This window comes from Homo sapiens, chromosome 3 (genome assembly GCF_000001405.40).
Source record: "Homo sapiens chromosome 3, GRCh38.p14 Primary Assembly".
Lineage (NCBI taxonomy): Eukaryota > Metazoa > Chordata > Mammalia > Primates > Hominidae > Homo > Homo sapiens.
Genome location: NC_000003.12, coordinates 128,739,636 through 128,759,252, shown reverse-complemented (window position 1 = coordinate 128,759,252; position 19,617 = coordinate 128,739,636). Strand labels below are relative to the sequence as shown.

General features: G+C 43.9%; 1 protein-coding gene and 1 pseudogene across 1 annotated transcript in view, besides 1 other annotated feature; one reads left to right on the top strand and one right to left on the bottom strand.

The window, feature by feature from the left end:
• Nucleotides 1–19,617, bottom strand: part of RAB7A (RAB7A, member RAS oncogene family) — an 88,616-nt gene that overhangs the window by 55,546 nt on the left and 13,453 nt on the right. The gene's annotated exons all lie outside the window — the stretch shown is intronic.
• Nucleotides 282–781: an enhancer, noted in NCBI's record as "H3K4me1 hESC enhancer chr3:128477315-128477814 (GRCh37/hg19 assembly coordinates)". NCBI's record gives its function as "activates a minimal SCP1, AML or CMV promoter by ChIP-STARR-seq in naive H9 embryonic stem cells {active_cell/tissue: H9 hESC(naive)}" and the evidence as "EXISTENCE:reporter gene assay evidence [ECO:0000049][PMID:30033119]".
• On the top strand, nucleotides 9,771–11,097 carry MARK2P8 (MARK2 pseudogene 8; annotated as a pseudogene).

The window sequence follows — 19,617 nt, the reverse complement described above, 5'->3', positions numbered from 1 at the left end:
TAATACACAGTTTACTTAATCTTATTCCTCTTAGGTTAAACCATTTGCCTCAGAATGTAAATTCTCAGTTTCCCTGTAGCTACTCAACAATCTCAATGTAACTATGAAACCATATTTCATGGCCAGAGACCTATCAGCTTATGGCACATTTGGATTTCTTTGGAAAAAGAATTTGAACAGAAGATACTGATCTTAATTTAACTCATTTGTAAAACACAGGGGCTGTAAGTTGAAGATCACTGAACTTAAAAACAAGCTGTAGTCTGTTTACTACTCAACCAAAGCCTGAGTGAGTAGCATTAGAACAGTAAGTCCCCTTAAAACTCTGAGCCAGGGATTTTGTTTCTTTGTGGCAACAGAAACATTTCAAATGAACTCATATGTTAAATCTTAAGCAAAAAACAGATAAAACACAGCTATTCGTGGGATGGCCGAGAGCAATCCAATGCTACCAAAGGATCATGTTCAAGGAACCCTCAAGAGTTCTGTCCACAACCAGAATATCATTGATATACTCCAAACCCTTTTATCTGATATATGAGAAAACTAATGCTCAGAGACAGAAGCATGCTTGCCCAAGAGTAAAAATCCCTAAAGATTTTTCGTTGTTGTTTTAAAGTCATTCATTCTTGATGAATGTCACTACAAACAAGCAGAATTAAAAAACCAAACGCAGGAGGCTGGGCCAGTGGCTCACGCCTGTAATTCCCAGCACTTTGGGAGGCCGAGGCGGGCGGATCACGAGGTCAGGAGACCGAGACCATCCTGGCTAACACGATGAAACCCCGTCTCTACTAAAAATACAAAAAAAAATTAGCTGGGCGTAGTGGCGGGCGCCTGTAGTCCCACCTACTCGGGAGTCTGACGCTGGAGAATGGCGTGAACCTGGAAGGCGGAGCTTGCAGTGAGCCGAGATAGCGCCACTGCACTCCAGCCTGGGCGACAGAGCCAGACTCTGTCTCAAAAAAAAAAAAAAAACAAAAAAACAAACACTGGGGTGGTGGCTCACACCTGTAACCCCAGCAATTTGACAGGCTAGGGCAGGAAGATCATTTGAGGCCGGAAATTCAAATCCAGCCTAACCAATATAGTGAGAGGCTGCCTCTACAAAAAAATTTAAAAATTAGCCAGGTGTGGTGGCTCACACCTGTAATCCCAGTGATTTGCGAAGCCAAGGACAGAAGACTGCTTGAGCCCAGAACTTTGAAGTTAGAGTGAGCTACAATCGCACCACTGTACTCCAGCCTGGGTGACAGAGCAAGACCCTGACTCTAAAAATAAAAAAAATAAAATAGGCTGGGCGCAGTGGCTCACAAGTGTAACTCCAGCACTTTGGGAGGCTGAGGCAGGAAGACTGCTTAAGCCCAGGAGTTGGAGACCAGCCTGGGCAACACAGCAAGACCTTGTCTCTGTTTTCTTAAAAATATTTTTCTTAGGCCAGGCACAGTGGCTCATGCCTATAATCCCAGCACTCTGGGAGGCTGAGGCAGGTGGATCACTTGAGGTCAGGAGTTCAAGACCAGCCTGGCCAGCATGGTAAAACCCCACCTCTACTAAAAATACAAAAATTAGCTGGGCGTGGTGGTGGGCACCTGTAGTCCCAGTTAGGAGAATGAGGCAGGAGAAATCACTTGTAACCCAGGAGGCAGAGGTTGCAGTGAGCTGAGATCATGCCACTATACTCCAGCCTGGGTAACACAGCAAGACTTGGTCTCAAAAAAAAAAAAATTGTTTTTAAAATAAATAAAAATATTTTATTTAAAAAATAAAATATAAAACATTCATCTTGTGCCTCTGCCTCGCCTGTACTTCTAGCTTTGCTTTCAAACTGCTAAGCACACCTGGCCTCAATATCACACTTGTTCCCTCTCCTGCACCATCAGTGGCTCAAATGCCATCTTTCCCCAACCATCCTACATAAAATGGCACACTTTCACTTCACCCTGTGTTACTGTTCTCCATAGCACTTATCTGATATTCATGTTCTATCAAGTATGGCTGGGAGAGAAAAAAATGGAGAATAACTGCTTAATTTGCATAGTCTCTGGTTGGCATGAGGAAAGGTTCTGGAAATAGGTGGTGGTGATGTATGTACAAGAGTGGGACTGGGCCAGGTGTGGTGGCTCACACCTGCAATCCCAGCACTTTGGGAGGTGGAGGTGAGTGGATCACCTGAGGCCAGGGATTCAAGCCCAGCCTGGGCAATATGGCAAAACCCCGTCTCTACTAAAAAATACAAAAATGAGCCGGGCGTGGTGGTGCGCGCCTGTAGTCCCAGCTACTTGGGAAGCTGAAGCAGGAGAATCGCTTGAACCCACGAGGTGGAGTTTGCAGTGAGCTGAGATCATGCCACTGCACTCCAGCGTGGGTGACAGAGCGCAACTCCGTCTCAAAAAAAAAAAAAAAAAGATAGCGAATACTAAGGTGAAAAACCCCAACAGTCCAAATATGAACCTCGGCCATTACCACACTGTTTTCATTGGTGTAGCTTTGCAGTACATTTTGAAATCAGGAAGTGTGAGACCTCCAACTTGGTTGTGTGTTTTCAAGATTATTTTGGCTACTGGAGATCCCATGATTTTCTGTATCCATGTTAGGATGGATTTTTCTATTTTCTGCAAAACCATCATTGAGATTTTAGTAAGAACTGCATTGCATTTCTTACTTTGGGGAGTACTGTGATCCTAACAATAGTAAGTTTTTAAATCCATGAACATGAGTTACCTTTCCATTTATTAAAGTCTTTAATTTCTTTTTGCAATGTTTTGTAGCTTTCTATACATGTCTTTCTCCTACCTAATTTACTATTTTATTCTTTTCCATGATATTGTAAATATAACTGCTTTCTTAATTTCCTTTTCAGATTGTTCATTGTTAATTTTTTTTTTTTTGAGACAAAGTCTTGCTCTGTTGCCCAGGCTGGAGTGCAGTGGCACAATCTCGGCTCACTGCAACCTCCGCCTCCTGGGTTCAAGCGATTCTCCTGCCTCCAAGCGATTCTCCTGCCTCAGCCTCCCACCTCCCAAGTAGCTGGGATTACAGGCATGTGCCACCACACCCAGGTAATTTTTGTATTTTTAGTAGAGACGGGGTTTCACCATGTTGGTCAGGCTGGTATCGAACTTCTGACCTTGTGATCCACCCGCCTCAGCCTCCCAAAGTGCTGGGATTACAGGCATGAGCCACTGTGCCCGGCCCGTTGTTAATGTTATAGAAACAGAACTTTTGTTGATTCTGTAACCTGCAATTTTGCTGAATGAGTTTATCAGATCCAAAAGGGTTTTATGTGTGAGAAATTTTTACAGTTCCCTACATATAAAATCATATCACTTTAGGGGGGAGGGATAGCATTAGGAGATATACCTAATGCTAAATGACGAGTTAATGGGTGCAGCACACCAGCATGGCACATGTATACATATGTAACTAACCTGCACGTTGTGCACATGTACCCTAAAACTTAAAGTATAATTTAAAAAAAATCATTACCATTATTCATGAAATTAAAAAATCTTCCAAAAGTTAAAAATAAAATAAAATAAAATAAAATCATATCACTTTCCAGGTTGAGGAGATGGCATCGTCCAAGGTGGAAAGAGTACAGTCCCAGGAACTGAGCAAAGAAAGGTGGTTATGAATTTGAGATTCTCATCTCGGGCCTAGTCAATCTAGGTAAGGGATTGTCAATTTTGTTAGTCTTTTCCAAGAACTAACTTTTGGATTTGCTGAATTTTTCTATTTTATTTATCTCTACTGTATTAGTTCCTTCTTTCTGCTAGCTTTGAGTTTGTTGTTTTCTACTTTGTTAAGGTGTAAAAAGTTAGATTGGTGATTTGAGATCTTCATCCTTTTTTTAATGAAGGCATTTATAGCTGTAAATTTCCTCCTTTAACACTGCTTTTGTGGCATATCATAAGTTTTGCAATGTTTTATTTTCTGTCTGTTAAATTGTTTCTAATCCTTTTTTTTCTAATTGCCCTTGTGATTTCTCCTTTGACCACTGGTTCTTGAAGAGGGTGTTACTTAATTTACATAAAGTCTCCAGTTTTCCTTCTGTTACTGATTTCTCACTTCATCCCATTTTGTCAAAGAAAATACTTGGTATCGTATTTTTAAAAATCTCTTGAATCTTAATTTCTGGCCTAATGTATGGTCTATCCTAAAGAAGGTCCTAAGTCCACTTAAGAAGAAGATGCATTCTGTTGTTGAGTAGAATGCCCCGTGTATGTCTGTAAGATCTACTTGGTTTCTTATATTGTTCAAGTACTATATTCTATTTCCCTACTTACCTTCTGCCTGGTTCTTCTACCCATTAAAGTCCCCAACTACTGCTGTAGAACTATTTCTCCCTTCCATTATCAGTCATGTTTCACATATTTGAGTGGTCTGTTATTAGTGTGTTTTGTCTTTTTGCCGTATTAAACCTTTTATTAATATATAATGTCCTGCTTTGTCTCGTAAACTTTTTTGATTTAAAGTATATTTTGTCTGATATTAGTGTAGCAACCCCGATCTCTTTTGGTTACTATATGAAGAGAGTATCTTTTTCCATCCTGTCACATTAAATTTTTTTGTCTTTCATCTAAAGTGGGTCTCTTATGGCTAGAAGCTGGATGTTTTTCTATCCATTCTGCCAATCTGTCTTTGGACTGCAGGGTTTAAGCTATTTACATTTAAACACTGATAAGGCAGAACTTTTGTCATTTTGCTGTTTGTTTTGTATATATGCCTCACAGTTGTTTTGTCCCCTATTTCCTGCATTATTATCTTATTTTGTGTTTAGTTGATCTTTGTAGAAAAACATTTTAATCCCCTTTTCATTTCCTTTTGTGTATATCCTACAGTTATTTTCTTTTTGGTTACCATGGGGCTGATATTTAACACCCTGAAGTTATACTACTCTGATGTGAATGTATACCAAGTTAACTTCAATAACATATAAAAACTGCTCCTATACAGCTCCAACCCCATCACCTTTCAGCCATTAATGCCACAAAACTACATCTCAATGTGTTGTGTGTCCAAAACACAGACTAATAACTTCTTGATACATAAGTCTCTTAAATCATGTAGAAAACAGAAACACTACTAGCTTTTATAATTTTTCATGTATTTACCTTTATCAGACATGATTATATCTTCATACAGATTTGATTTCCTGTCTAATGTCCTTTTATTTCAACCTTCATGACTTCCTTCATGAAGGGAGATCTAGTGGTAACAAACTCGTTAAGCTTTTGAATCATCTGGTGCTGTAGTTTTAGTGTTTGTGTTCCTCCAAAATTCATTTTGAAACTTAATCCCCAATGCAACAGGATTAAGAGGTGTGGCTCACACCTGTAACCACAGCACTTTTGAGGCCCAAGCAGAAGGATCACTTGAGCCTAGGAATTTGACACCAGCCTGGGCAACACAGTGAGACTCCATCTCTACCAAAAATAAAAAATAAAGAGGTGGGGCTTTCATGAGATGATTAGGCCATACTAGCTCCACCCTTATGGATAGGATTAATGACTTTATATAAGGACTCAAGGGAGCAAGTTCATTCCTTCTGCCAAGTGAGGACACAGAAACAAGGGACCATCTTGAAAGCAGAGGGCAACTTATCAAACACTGTATCTGCTGGAGCCTTGATTTTGGACTTCCCCCAACCTTCAGAACTGTGGGAAACAAATTTCTGTTCTTCATAAATTATCCAGTCTTAAGGTATTTTGTTATAGCAGCACAAAAAGACTAAGACATCTGAGGATGTTTTAATTCCACCCTCATTTTTTAAAATATTTTTTATTGAGGTTAAACACACACACGCATACGAAATTTACTATCTTTATCATTTTTAAGTATACAGTTCAGGGTAATAAATATATTTACATTCTTTTTCCCCCCCCTTCATCCTCTATCTGCTTCCCCACCAATATATGCTCTATTTTCATAAAATCTACTTTTCTAGCTCTGACATGTGAGTGAGAACATGCAATATTTGTTTTTCTGTGCTTGGCTAACTTCACTTAACATAATGGCCTCCAGTTTCATCCATGTTGCTGCATATGACAATATTTCAGTTTTGCTGGATCTAGAATTCATAACTGACAGTTTTCTTCCATCAATAACTGAATACATCCACCCACTAACTTGTGTTCCTGAAGGTTCTGAAGAGAAATCCGATGATGATCTTCTGGGGAAATTATAATAATAGATATCCTCCTCTCCATTCTACAGATGTTAATAATGTACCCAATTGTGTCTTATGCAACAGAACATTTCCTTAGGGTATCATGATGTCAGTTAATTTGTAGCATCATTTTGAGACCAAACATTCAGAGTTTAATTCAGAAAAAGGTATTGAATATTTTGAGTGTACACATTATGACATGTTTAAAAGCCAAAAGGTGTTAGAGATTTTGAACCTGGAAATAAAAAAGGCTGTTGTAGCATACTTCAGGTTTCAAAAAAAATAAATATCAACCTCTATAACCCACCTAAAGAATAAACACTTTAAAAAAAAAAAAAAAAAGAGGAAAAGCTTCTTGAGACCAAAAGTGAGAAAACCACTATGGATTATTCCTAGCTACAACTGGCCCATTTCTTGCTCTGGATATTATAAGGAGCCATTGTTCTGGAATTACAAACACCTAAATAAGCACTTGGCTGGATGTAGGTTTTTGGTCTGCACAGCCCAGTAAGCTGATTTTTGGTGACCTGACAAACAGAGACCACAATTATGTTGTTTCCTCATGTGTAGTGTTTTTTTCTATTTTATTTCTTTTTTCTCTACTTTGTCTTTGTCCTCATTTTTCTTTTTGTCATTTTTTTATTTCCTTTTTCTTATTATTTTTTCTTTTTATTTTCTCATCCTCCTTTACTCTTTTGTCCCACTTTTTAAATTCTTATATCTTCTTCCCATTTTTCTTCCACTTCCTTTGTTGTTTTTCTCATTTTTTCATTTTTTATTTAGTTAATGTTGCTGGTTAGCATTATTAGTATTGTTGGTTATCACTGTTAGTGTAGTCAGTATACAGTTGGTATTGTTAGTATTATGTTCATTAGTTAGTTAGCATAGTTTGTAGCACCAGTATTACTGGTTAGCATTCTTAGGATTTGTAGTTAGTGTAGCTAGGAGGTCACACTGTATTAATCTGTTTTCATGCTGATGATAAAGACATACCCAAGACTGGGCAATTTACAAAAGAAAGAGGTTTAACTGGACTTACAATTCTACATGGCTGGGGAAGCCTCACAATCATGGCAGAGGGCAAGGAGGAGCAAGTCACATCTTATGTATGGTGGCAGGCAAAGAGAGGAATGCTTGTGCAGGGAAGCTCCCCTTTTTGTAACCATCAGATCTCGTAAGACTTATTCCCTAACTCGAGAACAGCATGGAAAAGACCTGCACCCATGATTCAATTACCTCCCACTGGGTCCCTCCCATAACCGATGGGAATTCAAGATGAGATATGGATGGGGACATAGTCAAACCATATCATTCTGCCCCTGGCCATTCCCAAATCTAATGTCCTCACATTTCAAAACCAATCTTGCCTTCCCAACAGTCCCCCAAAGTCTTAGCTCATTTCAGCATTAACACAAAGGTCCACAGTCCAATGTCTCATCTGAGACAAGGCAAGTCCCTTCTGCTTATAAGCCTGTAAAACCAAAAGCAAGTTAGTTACTTCTAAGCTACAATGGAGGTAAAGGCATTGGGTAAATACAGCTGTTCTGAATGGTAGAAATTGGTCAAAACAAAGAGGCTACAGGCCCCATCCAAGTCCAAAATCCAGCAGGGCATTTAAATCTTAAATCTCCAAAATGATCTCCTTTGACTCCATGTCTCACATCCACGTCACACTGAAGCAAGAGGTGGGTTCCCATGGTCTTGGGCAGCTCCACCCCTGAGGCTTTGCAGGGTACAGCCTCCCTCCTGGCTGCTTTCACAGGCTGGTGTTGAGTATCTGTAGCTTTTCCAAGTGGATGGTGCAAGCTGTTGGTGCATCTACTATTCTGGGGTCTGAAGGATGGTGGCCCTCTTCTCACAGCTCCACTAGGCAGTCTCCCTGTGGAGAGCTCTGTGTGGGGGCTCCATCCCAACATTTCCCTTCCACAATGCCCTAGCAGAGGTTCTCCATGAGAGTCCTGCCCCTGCAGTAAACTTCTGCCTGGACATCCAGGCATTTCAATGCATCCTCTGAAATCTAGGCAGAGGTTCCCAAACCTCAATTCTTGACTTCTGTGCACTCGCAGACTCAGCACCACGTGGAAGCTGCCACAGCTTGGGGCTTGCATCCTCTGAAGCCACAGCCTGAGCTCTACATTGGCTCCTTTCAGCCACGGCTGGAGCTGCTGAGACGCAGGGCACCAAGTCCCCAGTTTGCACAAACCACGGGGACCCTAGGCCCGGCCCATGAAACCATCTTCTCCTAGGCCTCCAGGCCTGTGATGGGAAGGGCTGCCATGAGGACCTCTGACATGCCCTGGAGACATTTTCCCCATTGTCTTGGGAGTTAACATTCAGCTACTTGTAATTTCTGTAAGGGCTTGAATTTCTCCTCAGAAAATAAGTTTTTACTTTCTATTTCAATGTCAGGCTGCAAATTTTCCTAACTTTTATGCTCTGCTTCCCTTATAAAACTGAATGCCTTTAATAGTACCCAAATCACCTCTTGAATGCTTTGCTGCTTAGAAATTTCTTTGGCTGGCCAGGCTCGGTGGCTCACACCTGTAACCCCAGCACTTTGGGAGGCTGAGGCAGGTGAATCACCTGAAGTCAGGAGTTCGAGACCAGCCTGGCCAACATGGTGAAAACCCGTCTCTACTAAAAATACAAAAATTAGCTGGGCGTGGTGGCGGGCACCTGTAATCCCAGCTACTCAGGAGGCTGAAGCAGGACAATCACTTGAACCCGGGAGGCAGAGGCTGCAGTGAGCTGACATCGCATCATGGCACTCCAGCCTGGGCAACAACAGTGAGACTCTGTCTCAAAAAAAGAAAAAGAAATTTCTTCCTCCAGATACCCTAAATCATCTCTCTCAAGTTAAAAGTTCTACAAATTTCTAGGTCAGGGGCAAAATGCCACCAGTCTTTTTGCTAAAACATAACAAGAGCCACCTTTGCTCTAGTTCCCAACAAGTTCTTCATCTCCATCTGAGACCACCTCAGCCTGGGCCTTATTGTCCATATTGCTATCAGGCTTTTGGTCAGAGCCATTCAACAAGTCTCTAGGAAGTTCCAAACTTTCCCACATTTTCCTGTCCTCTTCTGAACCCTCCAAACCCTTCAAATCTCTGCCTGTTACCCAGTTCCAAAGTGGCTTCCACATTATTGGTTATCTTTTCAGCAGCACCCCACTCTACTGGTACCCATTTACCATATTAGTCCTTTTTCATGCTGCTGATAAAGACATACCCATGACTGGGCAATTTACAAAACCAAGAGGTTTAACTGGATTTATAGTTCCACGTGGCTGGGGAAGCCTCACAATCACGGCAGAAGGCAAGGAGGAGCAAGTCACATCTCACATGGATGGCGGCAGGCAAAGAGAGGAGCGCTTGTGCAGGGAAACTCTCAATAGCCATCAGATCTCATGAGATTTATCCACTATCATGAGAACAGCACAGGAAAGACCTGCCCCCATGATTCAATTACCTCCCACCGGGTCCCTCCCACAACAAATAGGAATTCAAGATGAGATCTGGGTGGGGACACAGCCAAACCATATCAGTCACCATGTAGCAGGGTCTCACCTTGTCTGGTGAGGAGACACTTATTTACAATTACAGGGTCCTCAAGACCATCGGCCGGGGTAGCTTCGCTAAGGTGAAGCTGGCCTGGCATATTCTGACTGAGACCCAGATAGCCATGAAGGTCATCCACAAAGCTCAGCAGAGCTCCTCCAGCCTCCAGAGACTATACCAAAGTATATATATATTCAGTATAATGAAGGTCCTGAATCACTCCAATATCAGCAAACTCTCTCAAGCAACCAAGACAACAGAAACATTATATTTAGTCCTGGAATGTGCCAGCAGAGCAGAGCTATTTGACTACATCCTAGAGTATGGCCACAGAAAGGAGAAAGAGACCTGAGGCCAGTTCCTGCAAACAGTATCTACTGTGCAGTATTGCCACCAGAAGAAAATTGTCCACAGGGACCTGAAGCCAGAGAACTTCCTTCTGGATACCAATTACAACATAAAAACAGCAGACTCTGGCTTTGGCAGCAGGTTCACTGTTAGCCAGAATCTGGGCACATTTTGTGGGAGTCCCCCTTATGCTGCCTCAGAAATCTTCCAGGGACAAAATTATGACCACCCTTCTCCCTGCCCCAGTGGATTTGTGGAGCCTGGGAGACCTTCTCTACACCATGGTGACAAGGTCTTGCCATTTGTCAGACTGACCTTTGTGGAACTGCAAGACGAGATATGTTACGGGAATTACAAAATCCCATTCTTCATTTCCTCAGAACTAGAAAGCCTCATGAACAAACTGCTTACCCTCAACCCCAGGAAGAGGAACACAATAGGCTAGATTATGGGGCATCCATGAGTCAATAACGACCAGGGGATACTAAGGCCACACCAGGAGCCACTCCCTCATTACCAAGTCCACGGAAAGACACAGCTCATGGTGTCCATGGGGTTCAAGGCAGACCACATCCAGGAGTCCTTGTTGGGAAAACAAATATGACTACACCATGGCCACATACCTAGTCCTGGTGTATAGGAAACTGGAGGAAGGCTCCATCAAGAGAGTGCAGCCCCTGCCTTCTGGGGGTCCCACCAATTCTTCCCCATTCCCCAAAGTATATTCCACCTTCCCTGTCTACTCAAAGAGGAGGAGTCTAAGCTAGCCTGCCTTTCCCACCTTTACCTTGGTTACTTCTAAAAGTCAGCCAGCTGAGAAGAACAAGTGTTAGGGCAGAAGACCACCAGAAAAGCCACCATGCCTGCCAGTCCCTTACTCGACCTGAAAATGAGACCAATATTAACATAACCCCCTCCACTCAATGTACCAGCAGCAGTGGAGGAAACCCAGAAGGAGTCACCTGTCCCCAACGATAATCTTAGGAACCAAATCCCTCCATGCTGAGCGACCAGATGATGTGACCTGAGCCTCATCCCTATGGCAAGTGCCAGGGCCAGTAGGGGGCCTCTAGGATGTTTGTCAAACTTCATCTTAAGAACACTTTGCTGGCCGGGCACAGTGGCTCATGCCTGTAATCCCAGCACTTTGGGAGGCAGAGGTGGGTGGATCATTTGAGGTCAGGAGTTCAAAACCAGCCTGGCCAACATGGTGAAACCTCGTCTCTACTAAAAATACAAAAATTAGCTGGGCGTGGTGGCACGTGCCTGCAATCCCAACTACTTGGGAGGCTGAGGCAGGAGAATTGCTTGAGCCCATGAGGCGGAGGTTGCAGTGAGCCAAGATCACACCACTGCACTCTAGCCTGGGAGACAGAGTGAGACTCGTCTCAAAAAACAAAACAAAACAAAACAAAACAAAATGAAAAAGAATCCTTTGCTTCCTGCAGGCCCAAAGACCCACCACACAGCTAGAAATAAAGTGGCACCAATGGACAGCTGAGGCCAAGAAATAAACCAAGTATGTGGGGTGGCTGAGATTCATTTTCTTTTCATTTCATTTCATTTCTTTATTTCATTTCATTTCATTATTTCATGGAGTTTTGCTCTTCTTGCCCAGGCTGGAGTGCAATGGCGTGATCTCGGCTCACTGCAACCTCCGCCTCCTGGGTTCAAGCAATTCTCCTGCCTCAGCCTCCCAAGTAGCTGGTATTACAGGCATGTGCCACCATGCCCAGCTAATTTTGTATTTTTAGTAGAGATGGAGTTTCTCCATGTTGGTCAGGCTGGTCTTGAACTCCTGACCTTAGGTCATCTGCCCACCTCGGCCTCCCAAAGTGCTGGGATTACAGGCGTGAGCCACTGCGCCCGGCCGATTATTTTTTAAGAGACAGGGTCTTGTTCTGTCACCCAGGCTGGAGTACAGTGGCAGGATCATAGCTCACTGTAATCTCAAACTTCTGGGCTCAAGCAATACTCTTGCCTGATCCTCACAAGTAGCTAGGGCTACAGATATACACCAACAAGCCTATTTTTTTGTAGAGATAGAGTATTGCTATGTTGCTCAGGCTGATTAAACTCCTGGCCTCAGTGATCTTTGCCCTTCGGCCTCCCAAAGTGCTGGGATTACAGGTATGTGAACCACCGCACCCAGCCTATTATGTTTCAGTTAATATGATTTTTAATTACCAAATCATAATTGTATACATTTATGGGTACCATGTGATGTTTAGATATATGTATACAATATGGAATGATTAAGTTAAGCTAACTAACATATATCTATCACCTCAGAAAAACAATTACCACGTGATATCACCAATGTGTTGAATCTTAAAAAGTTGAACCCCGGCCGGGCCGGGTGGCTCACACCTGTAATCCCAGCACTTCGGGAGGCCAAGGCGGGTGGATCACGAGGTTAAGAGATCGAGACCACCCTGGCTAACATGGTGAAACCCCGTCTCTACTAAAAAATACAAAAAATTAGCTGGGCGTGGTGGCATGTGCCTGTAGTCCCAGCTACTCGGGAGGCTGAGGCAGGAGTATGGCATGAACCTGGGAGGCGGAGCTTGCAGTGAGCCAAGATTGCGCCACTGCACTCCAGCCTGGGAGACAGAGCGAGACTCCATCTCCAAAAACAAAATAAAAAATAAAAAATAAAAAAATAAAAAAAATAAATAAAAATGTTGAACCCCAACCCGGTCAATACAGTGAGACCGCATCTCTACAAAAAATAAAAGTAAACAGGTGTGACAGTGTAGGCCTATTGTCCCAGCTCATTGAGAGGCTGAGGCAGAAGGATCACTTGAACCCAGGAGTCCAAGGCTGCAGTGAGCTATGATTGAGCCACTGCACTCTAGCCTGGGTAACACAGCAAGACTCTGTCTCTAAAAATCAAAGAAAAATTTAAAAGCTAAAAATAAACAGTTGAACCCACAGAAGTAGAGAGTAGACTGATGGTGAACAGAGGCTGGGGTGGTGGGAGAGAGAAATAATGGAGGGTTGTTTATCAAAGGGTACAATGTTTCGGACAGGAGGAATAACTTTCTAATCTACTGCACAGCAGGGTGACTACAGTCAATAATAAATATTTGGACATTTCAGAATATCCGAGTCTATTTCAAATGTCTCCTTGCATTTAGAATAGAAAGCAACAAGATCCCGAGCTCCATGGATCCTGACAATACAGCATGGCAGGTCAGCCAAGCATGGACTTAAATAGGTGCCAGGGGGCGCTGGTCAAGAAGCCCACATTGCTGTGTGACCAGCACACTCAGCTCAGAGGACTCAACCAGCAGAGGATGGATGTGTGCAAACTGCCAACAAAGTCTCTGCATGGGATTCAAGTCAAGAGGACAACTGGCACCCCTGTGGCCTTCAAAAGCATCCTATTCAAAGTAAGGGGTGAGTCCCTCCATCCCACCTGGAGCAATGTCAGAGCCTGGACTGTGTTTCCTGGAACACTTCTCCCCTTCCCTGCTCTTCTGTGTCTTTTCTTAATAAGATGGTGCTCACCCGGGCCTGGTGGCTCAGGCCGGTAATCCCAGCACTTTGGGAGGCTGAGGCATGTGGATCACTTGAGGTCAGGAATTCGAGACCAGCCTGGCCAACATGGCGAAACCCCGTCTCTACTAAAAATACAAAAATTAGTTGGGCATGGTGGTGCGCGCACCTGTAATCCCAGCTACTCAGGAGGCTGCGGTGGGAGAACTGCTTGAACCAGGGAGGCAGAGGCTGCAGTGAGCTGAGATCATGCCACTGCACTCCAGCCTGGGCAACAAAGCAAAACTCTGTCTCCAAAACAAAAAAAAAGATGATTCTTAATAAACTACTGTTTCTTCCAAATTTTACAGTACAACTGAAACTCCAGAAAGATGGGTCACATCTAATTTTGCTGTTTTGCACCCTCCCTGCAGAATTGGGGCAGTGCATACCCTAGTTTAGGCAACAGGTAGACACGCAGTACTTGAAGTTAACCAGAAAAATTTAATGAAAAAGTGACTTCAGCCGGGCGCGGCAGCTCACGCCTATAATCCCAGCACTTTGGGAGGCCGAGACGGGTGGATCATGAGGTCAGGAGATTGAGACCATCCTGGCTAACACAGTGAAACCCTGTCTCTACTAAAAATACAAAAAAATTAGCCAGGTGTGGTGGCGGATGCCTGTAGTCCCAGCTACTCGGGATGCTGAGGCAGGAGAATGGTGTGAACCCAGGAGGCAGAGCTTGCAGTGAGCCGAGATCGCACCACTAAACTCCAGCCTGGGCAACAGAGCGAGAATCTGTCTCAAAAAAAAAAAAAAAGAAAAAGAAAAAAAGAAAAAGTGACTTCAGAGAAGTATCAAGGAAACCTCAACAGCAAAAAATTATTACAAGTGGCTCTGAGCCAAATGCAGGGCAGAAACACACACATTGTATGTGACCTCACACTGACATTACCTGGTTAGCTTTTCACAAGGACCAATGGCAACTTTAAATCCTGTGGGCCTGTGTTAATTGGGCCAAAAGGTCCACAATAGGATAAGGAATTCTTGTGAACCAGGCTGTGCTGGGAGCTATACAAGTGGCACAGGTGTGGTCCCCAAAGCAGCTTAGCAGATCACTTGGCTGTGCTGCTGAGGTTCCCAACTGGATAATGAAGGAGTGTGGCCTTTCCACTGTGATGTTTTCTTTTTATTACAGTGGAATGTAGTCGATAATAATGCATCATATTTCAAATAATAATGTATCATATTTCAAAATATCTAAGAGAATAAATTTCAAATGTCTCCCAAATGGATCAGTCCCTCTAAGAGGGCTGACCCAGGTATGGGCCTTTCTGTCTGCCCAAATCTATTGGTGAACCCCTCTAATAAAGTTTTCATCTCAGTTATTGTACTTTTATGCTCCAGAATTTCTGTATAGTTCCTTTTTATAGTTTCTATCTTTTTGAGACTGGGTCTCACTCTGTCACCCAGTGGAGTGCAGTGATGTGACCATAACTCAATGCAGCCTCCAACCGCAGGGCTCAAGTGATCCTCCCACTCTAGCCTCCCAAGTAGCTGGACTACAGGCATGTGCCAATTTTTTTTTTTTTTTAAGAGCAAGAATTTGGCCAGGTGCGGTGGCTCACACCTGTAATCCCAACACTTTGGGAGGTCAAGGCAGGTGGATCATCTGAGGTCAGGAATTCAATACCAGCCTGGCCAACATGGTGAAACCCCGTCTTTACTAAAAATACACAAGTTAGCTGGGTGTGGTGGTGGGCGCCTATAAACCCAGCTACTCGGGAGGCTGAGGAGGAGAATCGCTTGAACCCAGGAGATGGAGGTTGCAGTGAGCCGAAATCATGCCACTACACTCCAGCCTGGGAGACAGAGCGAGACTGTCTCAGAAAAAAAAAAAAAAAGAGAGAGAGAAATTATTTTGTCATGTTGAATAGGCTGATATTGAACGTATAGGCTCAAGCAATCCTCCCATCTTGGCCTCCCAAAGTGCTGGCGTTACAGGCATGAGCCACTGCACCCAGCCTCTTTCTTGATTTTGTTCAGAGACTGTATTTCTGCTCTCCTTCAGTTCTTCATCTGTGGTTCCTTTAGTCCACTGAGCATATTGCTGACAGTTGCTCTAATGTCTTTGGCTAGCAATTCCAATGTCCAAGCTGAGACCCCATCTCTACAAAAAAAATTAGTCAGGCATGGTGGTACACACCTGTGGTCCCAGTGAGAGGTGACAACATGCTGGTGGCCCTTGCTCGCTCTCAGCACCTCCTCGGCCTCGGCGTCTGCTCTGGCCATGCTTGAGGACCCCTTCAGCCTGCTGCTGTACTGTGGGAGCCCCTCTCTGGGCTGGCCAAGGCTGGAGCCGGCTCCCTCTGCTTGCAGGGAGTTGTGGAGGGAGAGGCATGGGCGGGAAACTGGGGCTGCGCGCGGCACTCGCGGACCAGCGGGAGTTCCGGGTGGGTGTGGGCTTGGAGGGCCCCACACTCGGAGTGGCCGGCTGGCGCCACCGGCCTGGGGCAGTGAGGGGCTTAGCACCCAGGCCAGCAGATGTGGAGGGGGCACCGGGTCCCCCAGCACCGCCAGCCCACCTGTGCCACATTCGAATTCTCACCAGGCCTCAGCTGCCTCCCCGTGGGGCAGGGCTCTGGACCTGCAGCCCGCCATGCCCGAGCCCTCCTGCGGTGGGCTCCCGTGAAGCCCGAGCCTCCCCGACGGGCACCGCCCCCTGCTCTGCAGCGCCTGGTCCCATCGGCAGCCCAAGGGCTGAGGAGTGCAGGTGCGCAGCATGGGACTGCTGGGCAGCTCCGCCCGTGGCCCTGGCACGGGATCCGCTAGGCGAAGCCAGCTGGGCTCCTGAGTCGAGTGGGGACTTGAAGAACTTTTATGTCTAGCTAGAGGATTGTAAATACACCAATCAGCACTCTGTGTCTAGCTAATCTAGTGGGGACTTGGAGAACCTTTATGTCTAGCTAAAGGATTGTAAATACACCAATCAGCACTCTGTATCTAGCTCAAGGTTTGTAAACGCACCAATCAGCACTCTGTGTCTAGCTCAAGGTTTCTAAATGCACCAATCAGTGCTCTGTGTCTAGCTAATCTAGTGGGGACTTGGAGAACTTTTACGTCTAGCTAGAGGATTGTAAACACACCAATCAGCACTCTGTGTCTAGATCAGGGATTATAAACACACCAATCAGCATCCTGTCAAAACAGACCAATCAGCTCTCTGTAAAATGGGCCAATCAGCAGGATGTGGCTGGGATCAGATAAGGGAATAAAAGCAGGCTGCCCGAGCCAGCATGGGCAACCCGCTCGGGTCCCCTTCCACACTGTGGAAGCTTTGTTCTTTCGCTCTTTGCAGTAAATCTTGCTGCTGCTCACTCTTTGGGTCTGCACTGCCTTTATGAGCTATAACACTCACTGAGAAGGTCTGCAGCTTCACTCCTGAAGCCAGCGAGATCACGAACCCACCGGGGGGAATAAACAACTCTAGACGGGAGGAACGAACAACTCCAGACGTGCCACCTTAAGAGCTGTAACACTCACCGTGGAGGTCTGCAGCTTCACTCCTGAAGCCAGCGAGACCACGAACCCACCAGAAGGAATAAACTCTGAACATGTCCGAACATCAGAAGGAAGAAACTCTGGACACGCTATCTTTAAGAACTGTAACACTCACCGCTAGGGTCTGCGGCTTCATTCTTGAAGTCAGTGAGACCAAGAACCCACCAATTCCGGACATACTAGCTACTCAGAAGGCTGAGGTGGGAGGATCGCCTGAGCCTGGGAGGCCAAGGCTGCAATGAGTCGATGAGTCATGATCGCACTACTATACTCCAGCCTGGGTGACAGAGCAATGCCCTGTCTCCAAGGAAAAAAAAAATGTTTGTGTGTATGTATATGTATGCGTGTATGTATCTGTGTATATACGTATAAAACAAAACAGACGCAAATAAGACAGCAGTACTGTCCCACAGACAAAGAATGAAACAGAAGAGTTAAAAAACAAAAGACACAGCCAGGCATGGTGGCTCATGCCTGTAATCCCAGCACTTTGGGAAGTGGAGGTGGGAGGATTGCTTGAGTGCAGGAGTTCGAGACCAGCCTAGGCAACATAGTGAGACACCATCTCTATTTCGTAAATAAATCTATTTAAAATAAAAATAAAAAAAGACATGGAAGTAGGAAATATACTGTGTGATAAAAAAAATTTCTAGTCAAAGAGAAAAGATAATACAATAAAATACTGGGAAAACTATACATTTGGGAAAAGATTCCGACATATTATACCTGGCTAAGTGCTAGAATTACTAGAAGAAAACATTGTTTTTATTGTCCTGGGGGTGGGAAAGGCCTAAGCATAATATGAAACACAGAAAATGAATTGACAGATGTGACTACAGAAAAGTCTCTATGTTACAAAAACATGCCATCAGCCAAACAAGACCAAGAGATACAAGCCAGGAATAATGTTTGCAACACGAAAAGGATCAAAATTCTTGCCATATAAAGTTTATAAACTGGGAGAGAGGTGAGGTACAAGAACCTCACATGGGCTTTAGAGAACAAAAGCCAATTCACAAAAGACTATAAATATACAAAAGCAGAAAGTGAAAGTTAAAAAAAATTTTAAGTATATATAAAAAAATGTAGTTAATATTTTTTCTACATTTATTATACAATTATATATACTTAAATTTCTACAAAATTTAAGTGAATATAAAAAAGTAGTTAGTATTTTTCTAGTTTAATCTATCAAACAAAGAAACACAAGTCTTTTTTTTTTTTTTTTTTTTTTTTTTGAGACATCTCCCTCTGTCACCTAGGCTGGAGTACAGTGGAATTATCATGGCTTCCTGTAGCCTCAACCTCCTGGGCTCAAGTGATCCTCCCCTGAATCTCCCAAGTAGGTGTGACTACAAGTATGTGCCACCACACCCAGCTATTTTTTTTTTTTTTAACTTTTTGTAAAGACAGGGTCTTACCATGTTGCCTAGGCTGGTCTTGAACTCCTGGGCTCAACCGATCCTCCCACCTTGGCCTCCTAAAATGCTGGCATTACAGGCATGAGTGACCCACCAGGCCTGGCCAAAACACAAGCCCTCAACAATGAGACATCATTTAAATTTTTCCCATTCATTAAACTGGCAAGGATTAAGAAAACTGACAATTGACAAGTATATAAATGAAATTCTCAAACTACAAAATGTAAAGTATACAACCTTCCTGAAGGCTATATGGCAATGAAAACCAAATTTTAAGTATGTATACTCACTAAATCTTAAGGAAATGATTAGATAAGTAGGAAAATATAAATATTAAATACTTTTCTTTCTCTGTTGCCAGGCTGGAGTGCAGTGGCGCCATCTCGGCTCACGGCCATCTCTGCCTCCCAGGTTCAAGCGATTCTCCTGCCTCAGCCTCCAGAGTAGCTGGGATTACAAGTGCACGCCACCACACCCAGCTAATTGTTGTATTTGTTTTAGTAGAGACGGGATTTCACCATGTTGGTCAGGATGGTCTTGATCTCCTGACCTCGTGATCCACCCATCTCGGCGGCCTCCCAAAGTGATGGGATTGATTGCAGGCGGGAGCCACCGTGCCCAGCCCTTTTCTTTGTTTTTGTTTTTTTTGAGATGGAGTTTCGCTCTTGTTGTCTAGGCTGGAGTGCAATGGCACAATCTCGGCTCACTGCAACCTCTGCCTACCAGGTTCAAGCAATTCTCCTGCCTCAGCCTCCCAAGTAGCTGGGATTACAGGCATGTGCCACCATGCCCGGCTAATTTTGTATTTTTAGTAGAGACAGGGTTTTACCATGTTGGTCACGCTGGTCTTCAACTGACCTCAAGTGATCCACCCGCCTTGGCCTCCCAAAGTGCTGGGATTACAGGCGTGAACCACTGCGCCCGGCCCTATTAAATACTTTTCTTAAAGAGCTGGAAATAACTGAAATGTTCATTTAGAGGATTGTTAAATTATGATCAATATTATACAGTCATTAAAAATAGTATGTACTTATAAGAAAAGCTGACTATATGGTTAAATTTTTAAAAAGCTAATAGCA